The sequence below is a fragment of the Homo sapiens genome, chromosome 20, assembly GCF_000001405.40.
Source record: "Homo sapiens chromosome 20, GRCh38.p14 Primary Assembly".
Taxonomy (NCBI): domain Eukaryota; kingdom Metazoa; phylum Chordata; class Mammalia; order Primates; family Hominidae; genus Homo; species Homo sapiens.
The window spans coordinates 21,298,995-21,322,660 of record NC_000020.11 but is presented as its reverse complement, the minus strand read 5'-3'; the positions used below and the strand labels follow the sequence as shown (position 1 = coordinate 21,322,660).

The 23,666-nt window shown below is 40.9% G+C and overlaps 1 protein-coding gene across 3 annotated transcripts in view, besides 2 other annotated features; it reads right to left on the bottom strand.

Annotated features, from left to right (window-relative positions):
* XRN2 (5'-3' exoribonuclease 2) overlaps window positions 1-19,330 on the bottom strand; it is an 86,495-nt gene extending 67,165 nt beyond the window's left edge. For 2 of the 3 annotated variants that reach the window (NM_001317960.1, XM_017027722.2), the window contains exon 1: window positions 18,814-19,163. In NM_001317960.1, coding sequence (NP_001304889.1) covers window positions 18,814-19,122 — 309 coding nt within the window. In that variant the 5' untranslated portion in view covers window positions 19,123-19,163. Of the gene's footprint in view, window positions 1-18,813; window positions 19,164-19,187 lie in introns of those variants that run through there. The other variant, NM_012255.5, reaches the window with a different exon arrangement.
* Window positions 18,733-18,782: an enhancer, noted in NCBI's record as "active region_17624". NCBI's record gives its function as "activates an Ori minimal core promoter by ATAC-STARR-seq in GM12878 lymphoblastoid cells {active_cell/tissue: GM12878}" and the evidence as "EXISTENCE:reporter gene assay evidence [ECO:0000049][PMID:35858748]".
* Window positions 19,503-19,632: a silencer, noted in NCBI's record as "silent region_12715". NCBI's record gives its function as "represses an Ori minimal core promoter by ATAC-STARR-seq in GM12878 lymphoblastoid cells {active_cell/tissue: GM12878}" and the evidence as "EXISTENCE:reporter gene assay evidence [ECO:0000049][PMID:35858748]".

Genomic DNA, 23,666 nt, shown 5'->3' with positions numbered 1-23,666 from the left:
CTAAAATGAATTTCATGCCAACCCACTGTTCCAGTCAACCTTATGAGGAGAAACCACCACCAATAGCTCAGTAGATGCATTGTTTTTGTTTAAACCTACAAAGGATTTAACAGGAACATTAGAAAAACCATGAATCATGTCTGAGGTTCCAGGGCAACAGGAGTATCCCACTGATGGAAGTCATATGCCAAACCATACAACTCAGTTTCAGATTTCCCTTAAAGAAGCTTGGAACTATGAAAAGAAATTCAAACCATGGGTGATATTTTAGAGAGAAATGGCCAAAGGGCTAATGAAAAATTGAAATTACAGTATTTTGGCTTAAAAATTCAACCTATAATAAGACAATTTTAACACTTATGGGTGATTAGTATTTTTTCAAGTTGTACGTGTGTTAGATCTTCATTTTTATACGACGTTAGTGAATGAGGACTAATAATTACCACTAGCATTTACGGAGCACTTAACGTGATAAGCACTGTTACAAGGGCTTTTACTCATGGATTATTCCATTCTATCCTCACAACAACCTTGTGAGGTCTGGAGTATCCCACTTACAATTAAGAACACAAATGCTTAGAGAGGTTAAGTGGCTTTTCCAAAGTCACACTACTATAGATTCAGGAACTAGGATTTAAAACCATGACTCAGAGATGGTACCTTAACCAGTATGTTAGACTAATTAATTGTAATTTCACTAGATTCAAAGTGATGTGTACCAAGGTCTATATCAGGTACTACAGAGGATACAAAATAGGCAAGGTGTGTGACATTGATCATCATTTGCTAAATAAAGTCTTATCAGAAGATTTTATTCTAACATGACAGCATGAAGAGCTTCAACGACCTGCTCCCCAGTGAAACTGGTAAATATTACTTTTAAAACAAAAACATTTAAAGCCTTTGGAAATGATCCTGAGGGCAAACAGCAAGCAAATCAAGAAAACCTGTAAAAATTTTAGAACAAAATTCATTTGCAAAAGTGCACAGTAAAGTTTAAAAAACAAACAAAAAAAAGCTGTTCTCAAGAACAGTGAAAGTAGAATGAGGCCCAGTGGCTCATGCCTGTAATCAGCATTTTGGGAGGCTGAAGCGGGAGAATCACTTGCACCCAGGAGTTCAAGGCCAGCCTGGGGAACATAAGAGTCCTGGAGCCCCATCAAGAATCAGGAAGGTACAGTGGCATGTACCTGTAGTCCCAGCTACCTAGGAGATTAAGGCAGAGGTCTGCATGAGCCCAGGAGTTGGAAACTACAGTGAGCTGATTGTGCCACTACTGCACTATAGCCTAGGTGACAAAATGAGACCCTACACACACACACACACACACACACACACACACACACACACACACACACAGCCAGGCACAGTGGCTCATAACTATAATCAGAGCAATTCGGGACACCGAGACAGAGCACTTGAGCCCAGGAGTTTGGGATCAGCCTAGGCAATATGGTGAAACCTCATCTCTACAAAAAATTAGCCAGGTGTGATAGCATACCTGTAATCCCAGCTTACTCAGGAGGCTGAGGTGGGAGAATCACCTGAGCCCCGGAAGTTGAGGATGCAGTGGGCCAAGATCGCACTACTGCACTCCAGCCTGGGCAACAGAGTGAGACCCTGTCTCAAATACAAAGAAACAAACCAAAACAGTGCAAGCTATGGTGAAGAGCAACTGGGAGGAGACTAATAGATCTAATGAAGATACAGGCCTGGACTACAGGCTAGTTTGCAGAAGAAAACTCGGGATTAAGATGGCTGGGAGGAGCCCTCCTGGTGTTAGCACAAATACCAAACACTGACGTCAGAAACTAATTCCTGGAAAGATCTACAATTTAGGAGTTCGAGATCAGCCTGGCCAACATGGTGAAACCCCGTCTCTACTAAAAATACAAAAAATTAGCCAGGTGTGGTGGTGCATGCCTGTAGCCCCAGCTACTCGGGAGGCTGAGGCAGGAGAATCGCTTGAACCCGGGAGATGGAGGTTACAGTGAGCCAAGATCACGCCACTGCACTCCAACCTGGGTGACAGCAAGACTCCATCTCAAAAATAAATAAATAAGGCCGGGCGTGGTGGCTCACGCCTGTAATCCCAGCACTTTGGGAGGCCAAGTCAGGCCGATCACGATGTCAGGAGATCGAGACCATCCTGGCTAGCACGCTGAAACCCTGTCTCTACTAAAAATACAAAAAATTAGCCGGATGTGGTGGCAGGCGCCCGTAGTGCCAGCTACTCAGGAGGCTGAGGCAGGAGAATGGCGTGAACCCGGGAGGTGGAGCTTGCAGTAAGCCGAGATCGTGCCACTGCACTCCAGCCTGGGTGACACAGCAAGACTCCGTCTCAAAATAAATAAATAAATAAATACATAAATAAATAAATACATAAATAAATAAATGATGCCAATAGGTAGTGGGATAACATAAAAAGCAGTAAAGAAGTGGAAACAAACAAACAACAACAAAAGAACCCTGTCAACCAAGAATTCTCAGTCCAGAAAAGCTATAGTGCAAAACTGGGGTGACATAAAGACTCAGATCAATAAAAAGCTGAGAGAATTATTGCTAACAGACCACACTGTCAAAAACTACTAAACGAAGTTCTTCAAGCTATAAAGTTACAAAAAGTTTACTAAAGTTACTAAAGCAAGTGACTCTAGATGGTAATTCAAGTCCATGCAAACAATAAGCACAAGTATATTTTCCCTCCTTTCTTCTCTTAATTGAATTAAAAAGCAATTGTATAAATATTACATAGTATAATGTTGAGCTTATAAGGCAGAATGTAATATATGTGTAATATATTTGCCCTAATAGCAAAAAGGGGTGGATGGAAACAAAGTTGCAGTGGGCTAAGGAAATGGCTACAGACGGTAAAGTAACTCTTAAAAAAATGTATTGTTGGATTATGTCAATATATGTAATATATATAACAATAATATACAAAGGGGGGATGGGAACTGAACTATATAGCAGTAAAGTTCAATAAATTTTAGCATGTATTACTGAAACTAAGCAAGTATAAATCTGAATTTGATTCTAGCAAGATACATAGGGTAAGCTCTAGAACAATGACTTTGAAAAAATATATAGTGGAAAAAATTACTAATGAATTTAGAATCCTTCTAGTAACTGGCCACTGAATAAGAAAAGAAAAAAATTTGAATGCTATATTAGAAAATATCCTCTCATTGCAAAAGAAAGCACAAAGGAGAAATAGAGAAAAATGACATGAGACATACAAAAAACAAAAAGTAAAATGTAACTCTATCAATAATTACATTAAAATGTGAATGGATCAAACAATCCAACAAAAAGGTAGCTTGTCAAAGTGGATTTTAAAAACATGATCTAACTCTGCGTTATCTACAGGAGATACACTTGAGATTCAAAGACCCAAAAGAGTAAAAGTAAATGGATGAGAAAAGATAATCATGCAGACAGCAACCACAAGAAAACTGGAGTGGCTATACTGATATCAGATAAAACAGACTAAAACAAATAAAAAAATGTTACTGGAGGTAAAGAGGGTCATTTTATAACGATAAAAAGTAAATCCATCAAGAAAAAGATATAACAATTAAAAATACAGGTGCACCTAATAACAGCACCAAAATACACAAAACAAGACATATGGCAATTCAACAATGATAGCTGGAGACTTCAATACTCCCCCTTCAATAATAGAACAAAACAGAAGATCAACATGAAAACAGATAATTTGAACAACACTATCAACAGAGACCTAACAGATATTTCTAGCACATTACACTTAACAGAATATACATTCTCAGGTGTACACGAAATATGCTCTCAAAAAAAGTAAAAGCATAGAAATAATACAAAGTATACACTCTGACCACAATGAAATAAAATTAGAAACCATTAAGAGAAAAAAAAATTGGCAAATTCACAAATATGTGGAAATTAAACAACACAGTCCAAAATAACCAAGGGATCTAGGAAGAAATCAAACGGGAAACCAGAAACTACTTTGGGATCAATACAAATGAAGACACAATATACAAAATGTTATGGAATACATATAAAGCAGTGTTCACATGGAAATTTATAGTTGCAAATGCTTAGATTAAGAAATATCTCTTCAGAAGTATTTGGCTCTGAAAAAGTTAATTAAAAAAAAAATCTCAAATCAATTACCTAACTTTCCACCTTAAGATACCAAAAGAGAGTAAACTAAACCTAAAGCAAGCAGAAAGAATAAAAGATGAGAGCAGAAATTAATGAAACGAAAATTTAAAAATAGAGAAAAATCAATGAAACCAACAAAGCTAGTTGTTTAAAAAGGTCAACAAAAAATGACAAACCTTCAGCTAGTCTGATGAAAGAAAAAAGAGGGAAGACTCAAGTTACTAGAATCAGAGACGAGAGACAGGACATTACTGCTAACCTTATAAAAACAAAAAGGATTATAAAGAAATACCATGAATAGTCATACACCAACAAATTAGATAACTTAGATGAAATGGACAAATTACTAGAAAGACACAAACTACCAAAAATGATTCAAGAAAGACATAAACTGCATAAACCCATAACAAGTTAAAGCAATTAAATCAGTAATCCGCAAACTACCCAAAAGAAAAGTCAAGTGTAAATGGCTTCACTGCTGAATTGCATCAGACATTCAAAAGAAGAATTTGTACGAATTCTTCATGAACTCTTCCCAACAATTCCGAACACATTTTATTGGGCCAATATGACCAATACCAAGACCACACAAAAACATAAAAGAAAAAACTGCAGACCAGCATCTCTTATGAGCATGGATGCAAAAATCCTCAACAAAATACAGTCAGCCCTCCGTATCTGTCAATTCTACATCTGTGGAATAGATCAATCATGGATCAAAAATATTCAGGAAAAAAATGGACAGTTGCGTTGGTACTCAACATGTGCAGACCTTTTCTTGTCATTATTCCCTAAATGGTACAGTATAACAACTATTCACACAGCATTTACATTGTACCAGGTATTTAAGTAACCCAGAGACTATTTAAAATATACGAGAAGATGTGCATAGATTATATGCAAATATTACACCATTATATATCAGAGATTTGAGCCTCCGTTGATTTCGGCATCCACAGGAGGTCCTGGAACCAATCCCTCACAGATACTGCAAGACGACTGGACTAGCAAACAGAAGCCAGCAATATATTAAAATATTATACACCATGACCAAGTAGGATTTATCCTAGAAATGCAAAGTTAGTTGAACATCCAAAAACCAATCAATTAAACACATCATATTAACAGATTGCAAAGCAAAATGACACGATCATCTTCATATAGAAAAAGCGTTCGAAAAATCCAACACTTTCATGATTAAAAAAAAAAATACTCATCTAGAAATAGAAGGGAAATTCTCAACATAAAGGGCATCTGCAAAAACAAAAACAAACAAACAAAAAAATAACCTAACAGTTAACATCATACTTGGTGGTCAAAGCCTAAATGCTTTCCCTCTAAAATGAGGAATAAGACAAAGATGCCTGCTCTTGCCACTTCTATTCTGGAGGTTCCAGCCAGGGCAATTAGGCAGGAAAAGGAAAAGGTATTGATATTAGAAAAAAAAGAAATTAAACTATATTTGCACATGACATGATTGTGTATATAGAAAATCCTAAGGGATCCACTAGAAAATTATTACGATATATGACTTCAGCAAGGTTATAGGATACAAAATCAATATATAAAAATCAATTACATTTCTATACACTTGCAATGAGTATTCCAAAAATAAAGTTAAAACATTCTCACAATAGTATCAAAAAACTAGGGCTAAATCTAACAAAGAAATACGAAATTTATATTTTGAAAACTACAAAACACTGTTGACAGAAATCAAAATAGTTCTAAACAAATAACATCCCATATTTATGGAACACAAGACTCAACATTAAGATGACAATACTCCCCAAACTGATTGACAAATTCAACGTGCTCTGTAATCAACAGTAATCAAGACAGTGCGGTACTGGGACAAGGATAAACATTTAGATCAATGGAATGGAATTGAGTCCAGAAATAAATGCACACAGCTATTATTAGCTGATTTTTGATAAGGTGTCAAGATCATTTAATGGGGAAAAGAACAGTCTTCAACAAATGGTGTAGGACAACTAGATAGCCAATGCAAGAAAGTGAAGCTGGACTATTACTTCACACCTTAACTCAACCCAAACAACTCAAAATGGATCATGAACCTACATTTAAGAGCTAAAGCTATAAAACTCTTCCGAAAAACAGGTGTAAATATTTGTGACCTTGAATTTGGCAATGGAATTCTTAGATATGCCATCAAAAGCACAAACGATAAAAGAAAAAAGCAGATGAACTGCACTTCATCATCAAAATTTTAAACTTTTTTGTTTGTTTGTTTTTTGAGACTGAGTTTTGCTCTTGTTGCCCAGGCTGGAGTGCAATGGCACAATCTTGGCTCACTGCAACCTCCGCCTCCTGGGTTCAAGCCATTCTCCTGCCCCAGCCTCCTGAGTAGCTGGGATTACAGGCGCCCACCACCACACCCGGCTAATTTTCTGTATTTTCAGTAGAGACGGGGTTTCACCATGTTGGCCAGGCTGGTCTCAAACTCCTGTCCTCAAGTGATCTGCCCACCTCAGCCTCCCAAAGTGCTGCGATTACAAGCGTGAGTCACCACAACCGGACAAAATTTTAAACTTTTATTCTTCAAAGGACACCATCAAGAAAGTGGAAAGACAATCCACAGAATGTGGGAAAATATTTGCAAATCATTTATCTTATAAGGGACTTATATTCAGAATACATTCTTTAAAACTCTTACACTTCAATAGGACAACCCAATTTTAAAAGGGCAAAGAGGCCGGGTATGATGGCTCACGCCTGTAATCCCAACACTTTGGGAGGCTGAGGGAGGTGGATCATCTGAGCTCAGGAGTTGATTCGAGACCAGCCTGGGCAATATGGCAAAACCCTGTCTCAACCCAAAATACAAAAAGTTAGCCAGGCATGGTGGTGCCTGCCTGTAGTCCCAGCTACTCAGGAGGCTGAGGTGGGAGGATAACGTGACCCTGGGAGATGGAGGTTGCAGTGAGCTGAGATTGTGCCACTGCCCTCCAGCCCGGGTAACAAGAGTGAAACCCTGTCTCAAAAAAAAGGGGGAAGAGGAGACAAAGAACCTAAATAGACATTTCTCCAAAAGATACACAGATGGCCAGTAAGCACATGAAAAGATGCTCAACACGACTAGTCATCAGAAAATGCAAATCAAAACCACAGGAGATACCACGTCACACACCCACTAGAATGGCTAAAGCCAAGTCAGATAACAAGTGTTGGCAAGTGTGGCATAGTTCTTTGGCTGGCCTTGGACTAACTCAGTTCCTTTTCTTGCTCATAGTTCTCAAAAGTGACTGTAGAATGTGATGGTAATGCAATATCCTGAAATAGGGAAGAACTGCCTGAAAATGTCCAGCCTTGCTCCTGTCCCTCCCAGGAATTTAACATCTTGAGTGAGGGCGCAACTGCCCGGGACAAGGTGGGCTTTGTTCCTTTCACCCCTGGAAGCAGGACATTTTTTAAAGCATTAGCTCAGTGTGTCACATAAACCCTGAGGTGTATAACCCAGAGTGGGCTGCCTTTCAGGGTTCCTCTCCCGCCATGTAAGTGTGGCCCCTGCAGTCAAGACTCTATCTGCCCCGGGCATGTTTCCTGAGCCATGGGGGACCCATTCAGAATGAATCCTAGGCTTCTGTTGTCCTTTACTGTCTATTTGTAAATAATAAACCCTCTTCATGTAACATTGTACATGGATGTCCTTGTCTCCTCAGACTCAGACAAGTTGGTAAGCAACACACAGTAAACCTGCTTCACAGCAAAAATGTGGAAAAATTGGAACCCTCATACACTACTGGTGGGAATATAAAATAGTGCAATCACTTGGGGCTAGGAGTTCAAGACCAGTAGGCAACACAGAGAAACCCCATCTCTTAAAAAAAAAAAAAGTTAGCCAAGCATAGTGGCACATGCCTATAGTCCTAGCTATTCAGGAGACTGAGGCAGGAGAATCGCTTGAACCCAGGAGTTCAAGGCTGCAGTGAGCTATGATCATGCCATTGCACTCCAGCCTGGGCAACAGAGCGAGAACCTGGGAAAGTGGCTGGCAGTTCTTCAAATGATTAAACCATATAATCCAGCAACTCTACGCCTAGGTATACACCCAAGAAAAACGAAAACATATCCACATAGAAACATAACATGAATGTTTAAAACAGCATTATTCATAATAGCCAAAACATAGAAACTGTTCAAATGTTTATCAACAGACAAATGGATGAACAAAATGTGGTATATCCATACAATGGCACAGTATTTGGCCATAAGCAAATAATAAAGTACTGCGACATGCTACAACATGGGTGAACTTTGAAAACATAATATTAAGTGAAAGCAGCCAGCCAGAAACGACCATATTCTATAGATTCCTCTCATGTGAAAGTCCAGACTAGGAAAAATCTATATAGACATAAAGTAGATTAGTGGTTGCTTAAGGCTGGGAGAAAAGGAGACAGCAGTTAGAGGGACAACAGCTAAAGGGTACAAGTTTCTTTTCAAGGTGATTAAAATGTTCTAAAATTGACTGTGGTGATGGATGCACACATTTGTGAAAATACTAAAAATCACTGAGTTGTACACTTTAAATGGGTGAATTTTATTGTATGCAAATCATATCTCAACAAAGCTGTTTAAAGAATGTGGTAACCAGCTCCAAAGAAATAATCATATTAGAGAAAATAGAATGTAGGGTCAAGGATAAATGTCCACCTTATGATTTTTCTCCCTTCCCTCAGAGTGATGCCTATCACAAAAGTAGTACTCAATGAAATGGAAGAGAGAAAAGAGGCAGTGGAGGAAACCTGGATTTCATTACATGAGAACAGTAAGACCACACTGTACACTACAACGCAGTATTACCAAGAGTTAGACTCAAAAACATCTCTGCCTTTACTTGGACACATAAACTACTAAACATTAATTTACCAAATAAAATTCTGAAATCAGATTTTCCAAATAGTTGCCATTTAGCAAATGCTTCTGTAACAGGATTGTAACTGGTATTAATACATCTAATCCACACAACCACCCTCTGTGATACATACATAGCCAATCTTCATTATTCATGAATCCCATATTTGCAAATATGTCTACTCACTGAAATTTATTTTTAACCCCAAAATTAATAATCATGGTACTTTCGCAGTCATTTGTGGACATGCACAGAGCAGCGAAAAATTGAGTCACCCAACATACACATTCCCAGCTGGCAACAAATGAGGACACGCAGCCTTCTGCTTTCAGCCCTTGCACAGAGATGACCAGAGGGGGAAACTGTAGGGAGCAGCACAGTGTAGCGTAGTGTGTTAACTTACACCAAATTTGGCCTGAGGATGGCTCCTTACTGATTCTTCACTTGAAGAACTGCAATATTACTTACATAAAGTCCACTAAGGAAAAGCCTAACTTAGGAGCATACTTCTGTAACAAAAAGCAGAGTCTCCGCCAATCGCAGCAGTCGAGCTTCAGTCAATCACAGGTTGCCAACTTATCTGGCCATGTTTAAATAAGCCAAAAGATTAAGCTGTTTCTGTACCTCACTTCTGTTTTCAAGAGCTCCCCAAACCTCTTCTGGTTCTGAGGGCCACTCAACTGGCAAACTGTTCATTGCTCAATTGAACTGTGTTATTTAATTTATCTAGGGCCCAGGCATGGTGGCTCACGCCTCTAATCCCAGCACTTTGGGAGGCTGAGGCAGGCGGATCGCCTGAGGTCAGGAGTTCAAGACCAGCTTAGCCAACGTGGTGAAACCTCTACTAAAAATACAAAAATTAGCCAGGCGTCATGGTGCACACTGGTTGTCCCAGTTATTTGGGAGGCTGAGGAAGAATGGCTTGAACCCAGGAGGCAGAGGTTGCAGTGAGCAGAGATTGCACCACTGCACTCCAGCCTGGGCAACAGAGCAAGACTCTGTCTTCAAAAAAAAAAAAAAAAAAAAAAAATCTTGGGGTTTGGTTTTAACAAGAAGCTCTGGCTCTCTAGAGTTTAGGCATTTAAGTCATTTTCCGATGGTCAGAAAGCTGATAAATGGAGGACTGCATGAGCCAAGCAGTTAAAGTATATGAAGTGAAGAAGCTGATGACTGAATCAGTAAAGAGTTCTTAATAAGTGAGCAAAGGGAATAAAATGAAATCATAAAAACACAACCTAAGGCCGGGCACGGTGGCTCACACCTGTAATTCCAGGAAGTCAGGAGATAGAGACCATCCTGGCTAACACGGTGAAACCCTGTCTCTACTAAAAAAAAATAAATAAATACAAAAACTTAGCTGGGCATGGTGGCAGGCGCCTGTAGTCCCAGCTACTCGGGAGGCTGAGGCAGGAGAATGGCGTGAGCCTGGGAGGCAGAGCTTGCAGTGAGCTGAGATCGCGCCACTGCACTCCAGCCTGGGCAACACAGTGAAACTCCTCTCAAAAAGACAAAAAAAAACACAACCTAAAAGAAGGCATAAGACTTAAGAAACTGAAACAATGAACAGATGAGACAGAAAACAAATAGTAAGATGACAGATTTAAATCTAACCATATCAATAATCTTTTTTTGTCTTTTGAGACAGAGGCTCGCTCTGTCGCCCAGGCTGGAGTGCAGTGGAACAATCTCAGCTCACTACAATCTCAGTATCCCAGGATCAAGTGATTTTGTGCCTCAGCCTCCTGAGTAGCTGGGTTTATAGGTGTTGTACCACTATGCCCAGCTAATTTTTTTTTGTTACTTTTTTAGTAGAGACGAGGTTTCACCATGTTGTCCAGGCTGCTCTCGAACTCCTGGCCTCAAATGATCCATCTTCCTTGGCCTCCCAAAGTGCTGGGATTGCAGGCGTGAGCCAACATGCCTGGCCATCAATAATCATTTTAAATATAAATGTTCTAAATGGCCCAATTACAAAGCAGACTAGAAAAACAGTTTGGTGGTTCCTCAAAATGCTAAACACAGAATTACATGATCCAATGATTCCACTCACAGGTACATACTCAAAAGAACTGAAAGCAGGGACTAAAAAAGATACTTGTACACCAATGTGCATAGCAGTGTTATTCATAATAGACTAAAGGTAGAACCAGCCAAAGTGTCCAGAGTGTGACATATACTCCCATATACAATGGGAGTATCATTCAGCTTTAAAAAGGAATGAAATTCTGAGACATGCAACAACATGGACAAACCTTGAAAACACTATGTTAAGAGAAATAAGCCAGACACAAAAGGAAAAATATTATGATTTCATTTACATAAGGTAACTAGAATAGGCAAATTTATAAAGATAGAAAGTGGGGAGGGGGACAAGGAGTTACTGTTTAACAGGTAGCGTTTCTGTTTGGGATGATAAAATTGTTCTGGAAATAGACATTGGTGACAGTTGCACAACAATTTGAACATACTTGGTTCCATTGAATTGTACACTTTAAAACAGTCAAAATGGTAATTTTATGTATGTTTTATCCCAATAAAAAGAGGGGGCAGAGATTCTCAAACTGTATAAAAAAGCCAGACCCGGACAGGCGCAGTGGCTCACGCCTGTAATCCCAGCACTCTGGGAGGCAGAGGCGGGCAGATCACGAGGTCAGGAGATCAAGACCATCCTGGCTAACACAGTGAATGAAACCCCATCTCTACTAAAAAAAAACAAAAAAATTTGCCGGGCGTGGTGGCGGGCGCCTGTAGTCCCAGCTACTCGGAAGGCTGAGACAGGAGAATGGCATGAAACCGGGTGGCGGAGCTTGCAGTGAGCCGAGATCGCGCCACTACACTCCAGCCTGGGCGACACAGCAAGACTCCATCTCAAAAAAAATAAAAAATAAAAAATAAAAATAAAAAAAAGCCAGACCCAATTGTTATGTTACCTACAAAAACGTCCACTTTAAACATAAAGATGCAAACAGGCTAAAATAAAAGAATAGAAAAAAACACACCATGCTGACACTAGTCAGAATAACTGGCTGTATTAATGACAAATAAAATAGATTTCTGAGCAAATATTAACCAAGAATAATGAAGGTCATTTCATAATAAGTGTATTATCCACCAAAAAACTAGAACAATGTTAAGCATTTATGCACCTAATAAAAGAGCTTCAAAATACACAACCAAAAACCAATAGAACTGAAAGGAGAAACAGAAAAATCCAAAAGTTATAGTCAAAATTTCACAGCAGCAGAAAATGTATCCTTTTCAAATACACATAAAACATTTATAGAGACCATATTCTGAACCAGTCTGATAAACTTCAACAGACCTCAAATTAAATATGATCTCTGATAAGGGAATTAAATTAAAAATCACGAACAGGAAAAAATACCTGGAAAATCTCCCATGTGTGTGAAAATTAAGTCACACTCTTAAATAACCAGCGGGCCAAAGGGAGTTTTAGAACATATTTTTAAGTGGATGAAAATGAAAATACAACATGTTAATATTTGTGGCACACTGTTTAAACAATATCTAGAAGGCAATTTATGGCACTCAAGATCTATATCAGAGAGGAAGAAATGTCTCAAAACAATGACCTCAGCTTCTACCTTAATAAACAAGGAAGAGAAAAAACAAGTTAAACCCAAAGTAAGCATAACAAATACATATAAGAGCAGAATCAAAGAAATAGAAAACAGAAAAACAATAAAGAAAATCAATGAAACCAAAAGCTAGTTATCTGAGAACAGTGTAGCCAGACTGATAATGGGACAAAACAAAGAAAGTAGAATTACAAGTATCAGGAATGAAAGAGGTAACATCACTACAGATTCTAACAATATTAAAAGGATAATAACAAGTTAACAGGAAGAAAAAAGAAAACAAAAGAGAAGTAAAAACAGGAGTGAAAACATTTTAATAACAAAAAAAAAAGGATAGTAAGAAAATACTATGAACAACTTTATGTCAGCCAATTCAACTACTTAGATCAGGGGTGTCCAATCTTTTGGCTTCCCTGGGCCACTTTGGAAGAAGAATTGTCTTGGGCCACTAATACTAACGACAGCTGATGAGCTGAAAAAAAAAGAAAAGGTCTGTGCATAAATCTCATGATGTTTTAAGAAAGTTTACGAATTTGTGCTGGGCCGCATTCAAAGCATCCTGGGTTGCATGCAGCTTGCAGGCCACAGGTTGGACAAGCTTGACTTAGATGAAATGGGCAAAATCTGTGAAAGATACAAACTAAAAAAGCTCATCCAAAAAATAAATAAATAAATAAATAGGTAACCTCAATAGTTCTAGATCAACTAAAGAAACTTAATTTGCAGCTTAAAGCCTTCCCACAAAACTCCAAGTCCAGATGGCCTCACTGGTAAATTCTATCAAACATTTTAGGAAGAAACAATACTAACTCTACACAAACTCTTCCAAAAAACTGAAGGAACTCAATTTGAGGTCAACATTATTCTGACATCTCAACTACACATTACAAGAATGCTACAAATATCTTTTGTGAACAGAGACACAATTCTCAAGAATTCTCAAGAAAACTTTAGCAAACTTTAGCAAACTTGAATTCAACGTATATAAAAATAATACAACATGATCAAGTGAGGTTTATCCAAGGAATGCAAGGTGGCTTTAGCATTTAAAGACCGATAATTCACCATATGACTAGACCAAAAAATGGAAACCACAGAATGAAGTAAAACTATAAAACTTCTCTAAGAAAACACAGGAGACCTTGGCTTTGACAAAGGATTCCTTAAATACAAAAAGCAGAAATATAAAGGGAAAAAATTAATCAGACTTCATTAAAATTTTTAAATGTTTGCTCCCAAGACACTGTTAAGAAGTAAAAAGACAAGCCACAGATCAAGAGAAAATATTTGCAAAAGATATATCAAACTAAGGATTTCTATCTAGAATATGTAACAAACTCTACATTTAAGTAAGACAACCGAAGATAAAAATGAGCAAAAGATCTGAACAGATGCCTCACCCTGCCCGTGATGATATACAGAAAGCAAATAAGCATCTGAAGGAAATGCAAGTTAAAACCACAATAAGGTAACAGTACACTGGACTACCTAAAACTAAAAGGGCTAACTATATCAAGTGTTGGTGAGGAAGTTGAGCAACTGGAACCCTGATATGCTGCTGATGCCAATGTAAAATGGCACAACCAGTTTGAAAAAAAAAGTCTGGCAGGTTTTTCTTTTTAAGTAATCACACACCTAATATACAATCCAACCATTTCACTCCTAATGTTTTTCCCCCAAACAAATGCAAGCATACGTCCCTACAATGACTTGTACAGAGATGTTCATAGGTTTCTTTTTCAGAAAGCCAAAAACTGGAAACAATCCCAATGTTCATCAATCATCTGAATAAATAAATAAAATGTGGTGTATCTACACACAGAATACTATCCAAAAATTAAAAGACGAGGCAGGCAGATACTTGAGGTCAGGAGTTCAAGACCAGCCTGGCCAACATGGTGAAACTCCATCTCTACTAAAAATACAAAAATTAGCCGGGTGTGGTGGCATGTGCCTGTAATCCCAGCTGCTTGGGAGGCTGAGGCAGGAGAATTGCTTGAACCCAGAAGGTGGAGGTTGCAGTGAGCCGAGATCGCACCACTGCACTCCAGCCTGGGCGACAGAGCGAGACTCCATCTCAAAAAAAAATAAAAACAAAAAAGAAATAAACTACTGACACATACAACAACGGAAGAATTTCAAAATAAGTATACTGAATGAAAGTAACTGAGGCAAAAAATGAGTATATACTATATAATCTCATTTATAAAAAATTATAGAAAATGAAAACTTATCATACGGTCAGAAAGCAAACCAGTCAGTGGTTGGCAAAAGACAGGTGGCAGGGAGGGATAGTAGAAAGGAACTACAAAAGGGCAGAAGGAATGTTTTAGAGGTCACGTTCACTGTCTTGGTTGTGCTGGTTTCACAGATGTATGCACTGTATTAAATTATATACTTTAAGCCCAGGACTTTGAGGCTGCAGTGAGCCATGATTGCACACTACATTCCAGCCTGGTGACAGAGCAAGACCTCAACTCGAAAAAAGTTAAAAGAAAATTGTACACTTTAATTACCTGCAGTTTATTCTATGTCAAGTATACCTCAACAAAGCTGCAAAAACACCAAAGGTTGGGGGAGGTTTCAAGGAAAGCCAGAGAATGAGAGAGAAAATAAAAATAAAAATACATGAGTCTAAGAGGACCAGTATCCTGAGTCTGGAAAGGGAAGAAAAAAAGGTCAAGAAATCATCAAACAGCATTCCCTAAAACCGAAGAACGTAAGACTCCAGACTCAAAGAGTGAGCCACGTACTGATCAAAATGAATCTGAATTTAAAATAACATCTATACCTGGGTACCTAATAATGAAAGTTTACACTATCAAGAAAAAGATCTTTTTAAAATCTAGGAAGGAAAACTGATCACAAAAGAATGAAAGCATATGAGCATAAAAATTAAGTCCTTCTGGTTTCCACACTAGCTCTGACATTTATCAGCTGAGTGACCTTGGGTATGATACGCGACCCTGCTGTGTTTCCATTTTCTCATCTGAAATAATAATAAACATAACAATAATCATTATTTTTCTGAGATGGAGTCTCGCTCTGTCACCAGGCTGGAGTGCAGTGGCGGGATCTCGGCTCACTGCAATGTCTGTCTCCCGGGTGCAAGTGATTCTCCTGCCTCAGCCTCCCAAGTAGCTGGGACTACAGGCGCGCCACCATGCGCAGCTAATTTTTGTATTTTTAGTAGAGATGGGGTTTCACCATGTTAGCCAGGATGGTCTGGATCTCTTGACCTCGTGATCCACCCACCTCAGCCTCCCAAAGTGCTGGGATTACAGTCGTGAGCCACCGCACCCGGCCAATAAACATAGTAATTATTATAACATAATAACAATATTGGTTGTCTCCAAATAACGTGCTTCTATTATTTGTATGTAATAAAAATAATTACAACAGTAGAAGTCATGTGGTTGTGAGGATCAAACAAGTTATAATAAAGTTCTTAAAACAATGGTAAATGCTATATAACTGCTGGTTAAATAAATACATCACATTAACACCGAACTTGTCATCAACACTACTAGATGAGAGAGTACAAAAGAACAATTTCTTTCAAAGTTCTGAGGGAACCTAATATTAAAACTGGAATTCCTGGCCAGGTGCGGTGGCTCATGCCTGTAATCCCAGCACTTTGGGAGGCAGGGGCTGGTGGATCACCTGAGGTCAGGAGTTCAAGATCAGCTTGGCCAACATGGTGAAACTCCGTCTCTACTAAAACTACAAAAATTAGCCGGGCGTGGTGGCGCGCCTGTAGTCCCAGCTACTCGGGAGGCTGAGGCAGGAGAACGGCTTGAACCCGGGAAGTGGAGGCTGCAGTGAGCCGATATCACACCACTGCACTCCTGCCTGGGTGACAGAGCTAGACTCCGTCTCAAAGAAGAAGAAAAAAAAAACACCTCGAATTCCATGCCTAGCTAATGATCATTCACGTGTATAAGGGTAGAATGGAGCTATTTTGGGTCCTACAATGACTCGGAAATCTCACATCCCACACAGCATTTCTTAAGAATTAAGAATAAGGAGGCCAAGGCAGGCGGATCAGAAGGTCAGGAGATCGAGACCATCCTGGCTAACACGGTGAAACCCCGTCTCTACTAAAAGTACAAAAAAATTAGCCAGGCGTGGTGGCGGGCGCCTGTAGTCCCAGCTACTTAGGAGGCTGAGGCAGGAGAATGGCGTGAACCCCGAAGGCGGAGCTTGCAGTGAGCCGAGATTGATTGAGCCACTGCACTCCAGCCTGGGAGACAGAGCGAGGCTCCGTCTCAAAAAAAAAAAAAAAAGAATTAAGAATAAAAACTAAGAAAACGATTTAAAGGAAGAAAGATGGGCCGGGCGCCGTGGCTCACACCTGTAATCCTAGCACAAGGGAGGCCCAGGGAGGCGGATCACGTGTGGTCAGGACAGAGACCAGCATAGCCAACATGGCAAAACCCCGTCTCTACTAAAAATCCAAAAAAAAAAAAAAAAAAAAAAAGGCCACGTATGGTGGCTCATGCCTGTAGTCTCAGCACTGTGGAGGCTGAGGCAGGCGGATCACCTGAGGTCAGGAGTTCGAGACCAGCCTGACCAACATGGCAAAACTCCGTCTCTACTAAAAAAAAATCAGCTGGGCGTGGCGGCGCACACCTGTAGTCCTAGCTGCTCTGGACGCTGTGGCAGAAGAATGGCTTGAACCCAGGAGGCCAGAGGTTGTAGTGAGCCGAGATCATGCCACCGTACTCCAGCCTAAGAGACATAGCGAGACTCCGTCTCTAAATAAATAAACAAATGAAGTAAGATGATGATCCAGAAAACAGTACCTCCCACTGAAGAAAGATATGATAGCAATAATAATAATAAAATCCCAGATGCAGCTTTCCAGCAAGCCTACAGAATAGCCAGGTGTGACAGCAACAAAAATAAATAAGACCCCAAGAAGGACTATTCAAGAAGAAAGATGACTCTTGATAGACTACCTGGTAAAATAGAGTCCGGGCGCGGCAAGATGTAAAGTGGAAAAAGAAAGACAGCCCCAGGGAAAAAGACAAAAGCAGCACAAAAAACAAAATCACAGTACATAACCTGAATCTACACAGTGTCAATAGTCAACTATCCTATCTGATTTTTCAGCATTTTAAATCTGTATAGTCAAAGCCCTGATCATTTAATTTTGGATGCCCACAACGCAAAAGTACAGCTGACAAACTTGAGGTGAAAGGGAAGAAAAGCTAAGATCGACCTTAGAAAGCATTGAGTCAAGGGATACGTTACACAGGCGATGGAATGAAAAAGGCAAATTACTTAGTTATAAAGCTTACCAATAAAAATATATATCTAGTGATTTACTCCATTAAGAGTATAGAGGGAGGGCTGAATAGGTGACTAAATCCTCTCCTATTCCAGCTAGAATTCAACAGATCTAAAAGTGATAACGTATAAGTATGATACTTAGAGACAGAACCAAAACAGTTAAAGGTGGAGAAATGGGATGAGAAGGGGTAGAGCAAGAACTGTTGCTTTTTGTTTAACCCACGTGCAAGTAAAGTTCAATAAAGTTCGATTAAAATTTTACAAAGGAAACAAGTATTCAATTTAGCAGTTGCTTTTTGAAAAAAACAAGAAATAGTGGGAATGTCACTAAGACAAGGCTTTTGGTTCCTCCTTGGATAGAAGCCAAGAAAGTTAAAAAAAAAAAAAAAAGCAGAAATAAGTTCACAGTGACAGGCAAGCACTGCCTTCAAAAACTAAGGAGTGAGGTACGCGTGATGTGCCTCTGAACGTTTCCAATCCAGAAATTCTAATTAAGAGCACAAAATCGAATCCGCATGGAATGACGAAAACAATAAAAACAAAACTCAATAATGGCCAAAAATCTACTTACGTATTAACTAACAACAAAAATTGTACTGCTCAAGTACATCCAGTAATCTTGAAATTTTCAACAAGCACCCACCCCGTTCAGTAGTCAGGGCACACAGAGAAGGGTAACTTCTCAGAATTCTATAGCGCTCATCCTGGACCTGACATACTGCTTTCAGCGTCCAATCTAACCAGAACAACAAATGGTCCTGAACACTAGGAGAAAACCTTTCCGGCACAATTGGTAAACAACGAAAAGGTCGCCGCCAGGGATTCCTTTACAAGGTTGTCAAAAAGCTGGCCTCCGAATCCGTGCATCCATAACCCGCTAGCTCAGCTGACCTGGCATGCATTGCTCAACAACAGCCTCTGAACCTCTTCCGAGACCCAAAATGCGCGGTCTGGAGAGGAAACAAAGCAGTGGGCGGGGCCTTCCGGTGCCGGGAAAAAGCGAGTAGGGGAGGAGCGACCCTCCTGCGAGTTCGGAACCCTATAGGCCCTTGCCCCGCCGAGGGTCCTGAATTCCTCGCCCCCGGGGTGCTGAATCCCACAGCCCGCGTCCCATCGCGTGTGGGGCTGCGACTGCTCGCGAGGCTGGCAGCAGGGCGCGAGCTCCGGCAAGGCTCCCCGGGGGCAGGCGGCGGAGCCCATGGGCCGCGGCCTAGACGTGCCGGGGGCCCGGGCTCGAGTGTGGCGGCCGCCTGGCGCCTCCTCACCTTCTCTTCCACGCAGTTGACTATGATGGACGGGTACTTGCGGCTGAGCCAGCGGAAGAACGCCGGGACTCCCATAGCGGCACACGGCTGGAGGCGGCGGCCGACCGGCTGACGAGCGTAACCAAAGAGACGGGAGCAGCGGCAGAGGGCACCAGCACTTCCTCCCACGTGCGCGCTGGAGAACGGAAGTGACGTCACGGCGCCGCCGCCGGGGAAGCTGGGAAGGAGGCTTCGCTGGATGAGGGAGCGGCGGAAAAGGGCCTTGCCGGGCTGTTTGTGGGAGGCGGAGTCCGGCGGCGGACCGGGTGGCGAAGGCTGCAGCTCGCCCTCGGTGGTCCCAGCCCCGGAGCGCGAGGCCGAGCGCGTCTGAGTTGCGGGGGCTCACGGGCGACTGCTCTGCCGGGGCTCCGCCGGGATCTCCCAGCCCCAGCCCTCCGGCTCCCTGGGCACAGAATCGCTGCGCTCTGCATGCCCGGGAGGAGGTCTCCCTTGCCCGTTTGGTCACCTCTTGTTTGGAAGAAAATGTCTTTTTTTGCCTCTATGCTCACCCGTCTCAATCTAGGGTAGAATCGAAGCATCCAAACTTACTCGTTACTTCCATTTCCTGGTTTCTCCTAGTTTTGTGCTGCAGTACGTACCTGGACTATCAAAAGGAGCATTTTAAAGCATTTTACAGTAATAATGGCTGCTTTGCACCAATAATTTGATTGTTATGCAAATAAATAATTATGATAGTTACCGAATGGAATCTAGCCGGTATTTAGCATCCAATACAATCTTCCAGCTACAATTACGGGTATAAAATAGTTGCTAATATGATTTTCCAGCATTTACTGAGCCTTTACAGTGTACCAAGACATTGACTAAGGGATTGTCCTATGTAATCTTCACTTGAACCTTGTGAGGGTACTGTTAGCACCCTCGTGTAAATGATAAGAAAGCCAAGTTACAGAGGAGTTAAGTCACTTATGCACATAGCTTCTGTTTCAGTTCAAGCAAAGGTCATTTTTAATCCATCCTTGTTCTAACACGATACTTTTATCTTTTGTTTTCTGGTGGTCCCAAACGAATTTTTTCCATATGAAAGGAGAGGTCTGGAAGAGGAGGTATATTTGTCCGTTTGCTCAAGCCTGGAAGTCTCCCTGAATCCCCTCTTGGTTTGACACACATCACACACGATGCTAAATGCTCACCTCATGAGGCCTCTGTGAAAGTATTTCGCCGAGTTACCTCACAGGCAGTATTTATTGCCCCCTCCTCTGTGGTCTGATGACTACTTTGTTTAAACTACTAGTGTGGAAATTAGAGAAATAGTCATCCCGTGTTTTACTTAAGGATAGCCAAAACTATTCCAAAGTATTATGTCTATGGTGAAATTCCTCCTTTTACCTGGAAGCAGCCCCTCTGGTTTCCCTGGGAGGTGCTGTTATAGGAACATGTACACCATAGGCAGTTCAGGGATAGACAGCTGGCCAAGTTGAGCCATTTAGAATCCTTAACCAGCATTTTGGCGGGTTGGGAGGGTTTATTGTTTTGTTTTTGTTTTTTCAGACGGAGTCTCAGTCATCCAGGCTGGAGTGCAGTGGCAAGATCCAGGCTCACTGCAACCTCCACCTCCCGGGTTCAAGCGATTCTCCTGCCTCAGCCTCCCGAGTAGCTGGGATTAGAGGCGCCTGCCATGACACCCCGCTGATTTTTGTGTTTTTAGTTGAGACAGGGTTTCACCATGTTGGCCAGGCTGGTCTCGAACTCCTAACCTCAGGTGATCTGCCCACCTCGGCCTTCCAGAGTGCTGGGATTACAGGTGTGAGCCACTGCACCCAGCCTTACCAGCATTTTTGAGCTTTGAACCATAAGAAATTTAAGACTGCATCTTTCCAGTGCGTGAACGCTAAAAGATAAGAATTGGGACTTGTTGCCAGTAGGCAATGAGAGAAGCAGGGTTAATTCCCTGGTTCCAGTTAAATCCCTCTCTTCCTGCAGTTTGATTAAGTCTGTCCTTTGATTCTGTGAGCCAAATTTTTTTTTTTTTTTTTTTTTAAGACAGAGTCTCACTCTGTTGCCAGGCTGGAGTGCAGTGGCACCATCTCGGTTCACTGCAACCTCCACCTCCCAGGTTCAAGCGATTCTCCTGCCTCAGCCTCCCAAGTAGCCGGGACTACCAATGTGCGCCACCACGCCCGGCTAATTTTTGTATTTTTAGTAGAGATGGGGTTTTACCATGTTGGCCAGGATGGTCTCAATCTCTTGACCTTGTGATCCGCCCGCCTTGGCCTCCCAAAGTGCTGGGATTCCAGGTGTGAGCCACCACTCCCAGCCAAAAGTTTCCTTTTGCCCTAAGCTGGCTTGGGCTAAATTCTTATCCCTTACAAAGGAAAGAGTCCAGTAACAAAATTTGGGGAGTGCAAGCTAATTCACCTGGGTGGTGAAATTGGTTTGCATAGAAGTACTAAAATTGGAGTTTTGGCACTCAGAGAAGGAGTGGGTAAAAGAGAGAAGAAACTTGAAAGGCGGCAGGAGGATATGGACTAAGTATTGTGACACTTTCCCTGGCCCAATGTGTCCAGTAAAGCCTGTCAGACTCAGGCTTGGTATGGGTTTTTCTTGTAGAAATCAAATAAAAAGTCTCCAGTTGGGGTCACTGTGGTTTGGAACCACCACGGGGTGGGCAACATAGCAGACCTCTAGAAGCAGAAGAGGTGAGAATTTATTAGTGTTGGAAATTAGCAGGGAGGCCAGGTGTGGTGGTTCACATCTGTAATCCTAGCAAATGGGGAGACTAAGACAGGAGGATCACTTGAGCCCAAGAGTTTAAGGCTGCAGTGAGCTATGATTGCACCACTGTGCTACAGCCTGGGTGACAGAGCGAGAAGCTATCTAAAAAAAAAAAAAAAAAAAAAAAGAAAATAAATTAGCAGAAATACTGAACCAGACTTTGGACTTATACAGGCAGAGAACCCAGAGGTTTTGAAACATTTTTGCCCAGATCTCAAAGGGAGAGAGGAAGGCCACAGCTAGTATCTGGATTACATTAATGTGAAAAACAATATGAAAAATATATAATATGTGGAAACTAGGATGTTTTTAAATATTCATCAATTCATTTTTAAGCCCCATTAACATTGTAATTATCATAGAAAAAAATTCTCAGTTTTTTTTTGCCTACTATTGGTCCTTCTACCAAGTGATTCCTTTCCTTCTTTATCCTTACAAAATTCATTGTGAATAACCTGATGTATTTAAAACAGTAATTGTGGCCATTTTGGGTTGAGATAAACATTTTTAATCAGTAGAGTAAAGCAGATTGCCCTCCATAATGTGAGTGGACCTCATTTCATCAGTTGAAGGCCTGAATAGAACAAAAAGTCTGGCCCCCAAGCAAGAGGGAATTCTCTAGCCAACTGCCTTGAGATGTAATCTGCCTCCTGAGTCCTGAATCTGCTGGCCTACACTGCAGATTTGGATTAGCCAGTCTGTATAGTTACGTGAGCCAAATCCTTATAATAAATGTCTTTGTATATGCCCACATGTTGATTCCATGTCTCTAGAGAACGCTGACAGCTACAGATTCTGGTACTAGAAGTGGTTCAAGCGGAACGGAATCTTAGGGATGCATTTTTGTAATTGGTTCTGAGGTTTCTGGAAGTGGTTCTCTAGTCTGATTAGATTAAAAACAGGAATGACTTTCCAGTAGTAAATAAAACACTTGATAGTCTATGGCATGATGAAGTAGTAGAATTACACAAAATATTACCAAAACTAAAAAGAAGCAGGATCTGGGTGACCATGCGTATGATACTTTATAACATATTTGCCAAAATAACAAGTATAATGAGATTGGTTGCCCCTAATGTTGCTGGACAAAGTGGGAAAAGAAAAGGATGAGCTCAGGGATTCAAATTCCCAGCTCAAGTATAACATAAGTGACCTGAAACTTTCTATTTCTGCCCTGAAAGAGACCCTTATCTCCTATAGCTGCAGAGCCAAGATTGTTAAAAATCAACTCCGAATCACATCCTGTAAGTGGCTGAATTAAAGTGCAGATTGAATTTTTGACTTTGCAGGTTGTCTACTTCTAAAGTGAGGGCATTGATTGGGAACGAATTGGATCCTGAAAGTTGGAATGGGGGCATATGGAAAGACCTTGATGGCACTGGGGACATTGAATTCATAAGTTCCAATGAGTCATCTTTGCCCGTAGAAGCATTTTCTCCACCCCAGTAGATATATCCTCTCCACCCCCACCTGAGGGAACTAACCTTTCATTGCTTAAGGAATCTATCATGACCTCACCTGATACAGTTGTCTCGCAAGACAATGCTGATTCTCCTCAGGACACACCCCCATTACCCCTCTTGGCTTCTAGAACTTTAACTAGACTCAAGTCCTAGCAGTCCCAAAAGGTGAGGCATGAAATGTGATCCATGAGGCATACTACACTCCAAAAGAACTACTTGAGTTTTCTTATTTAGTCAGAAA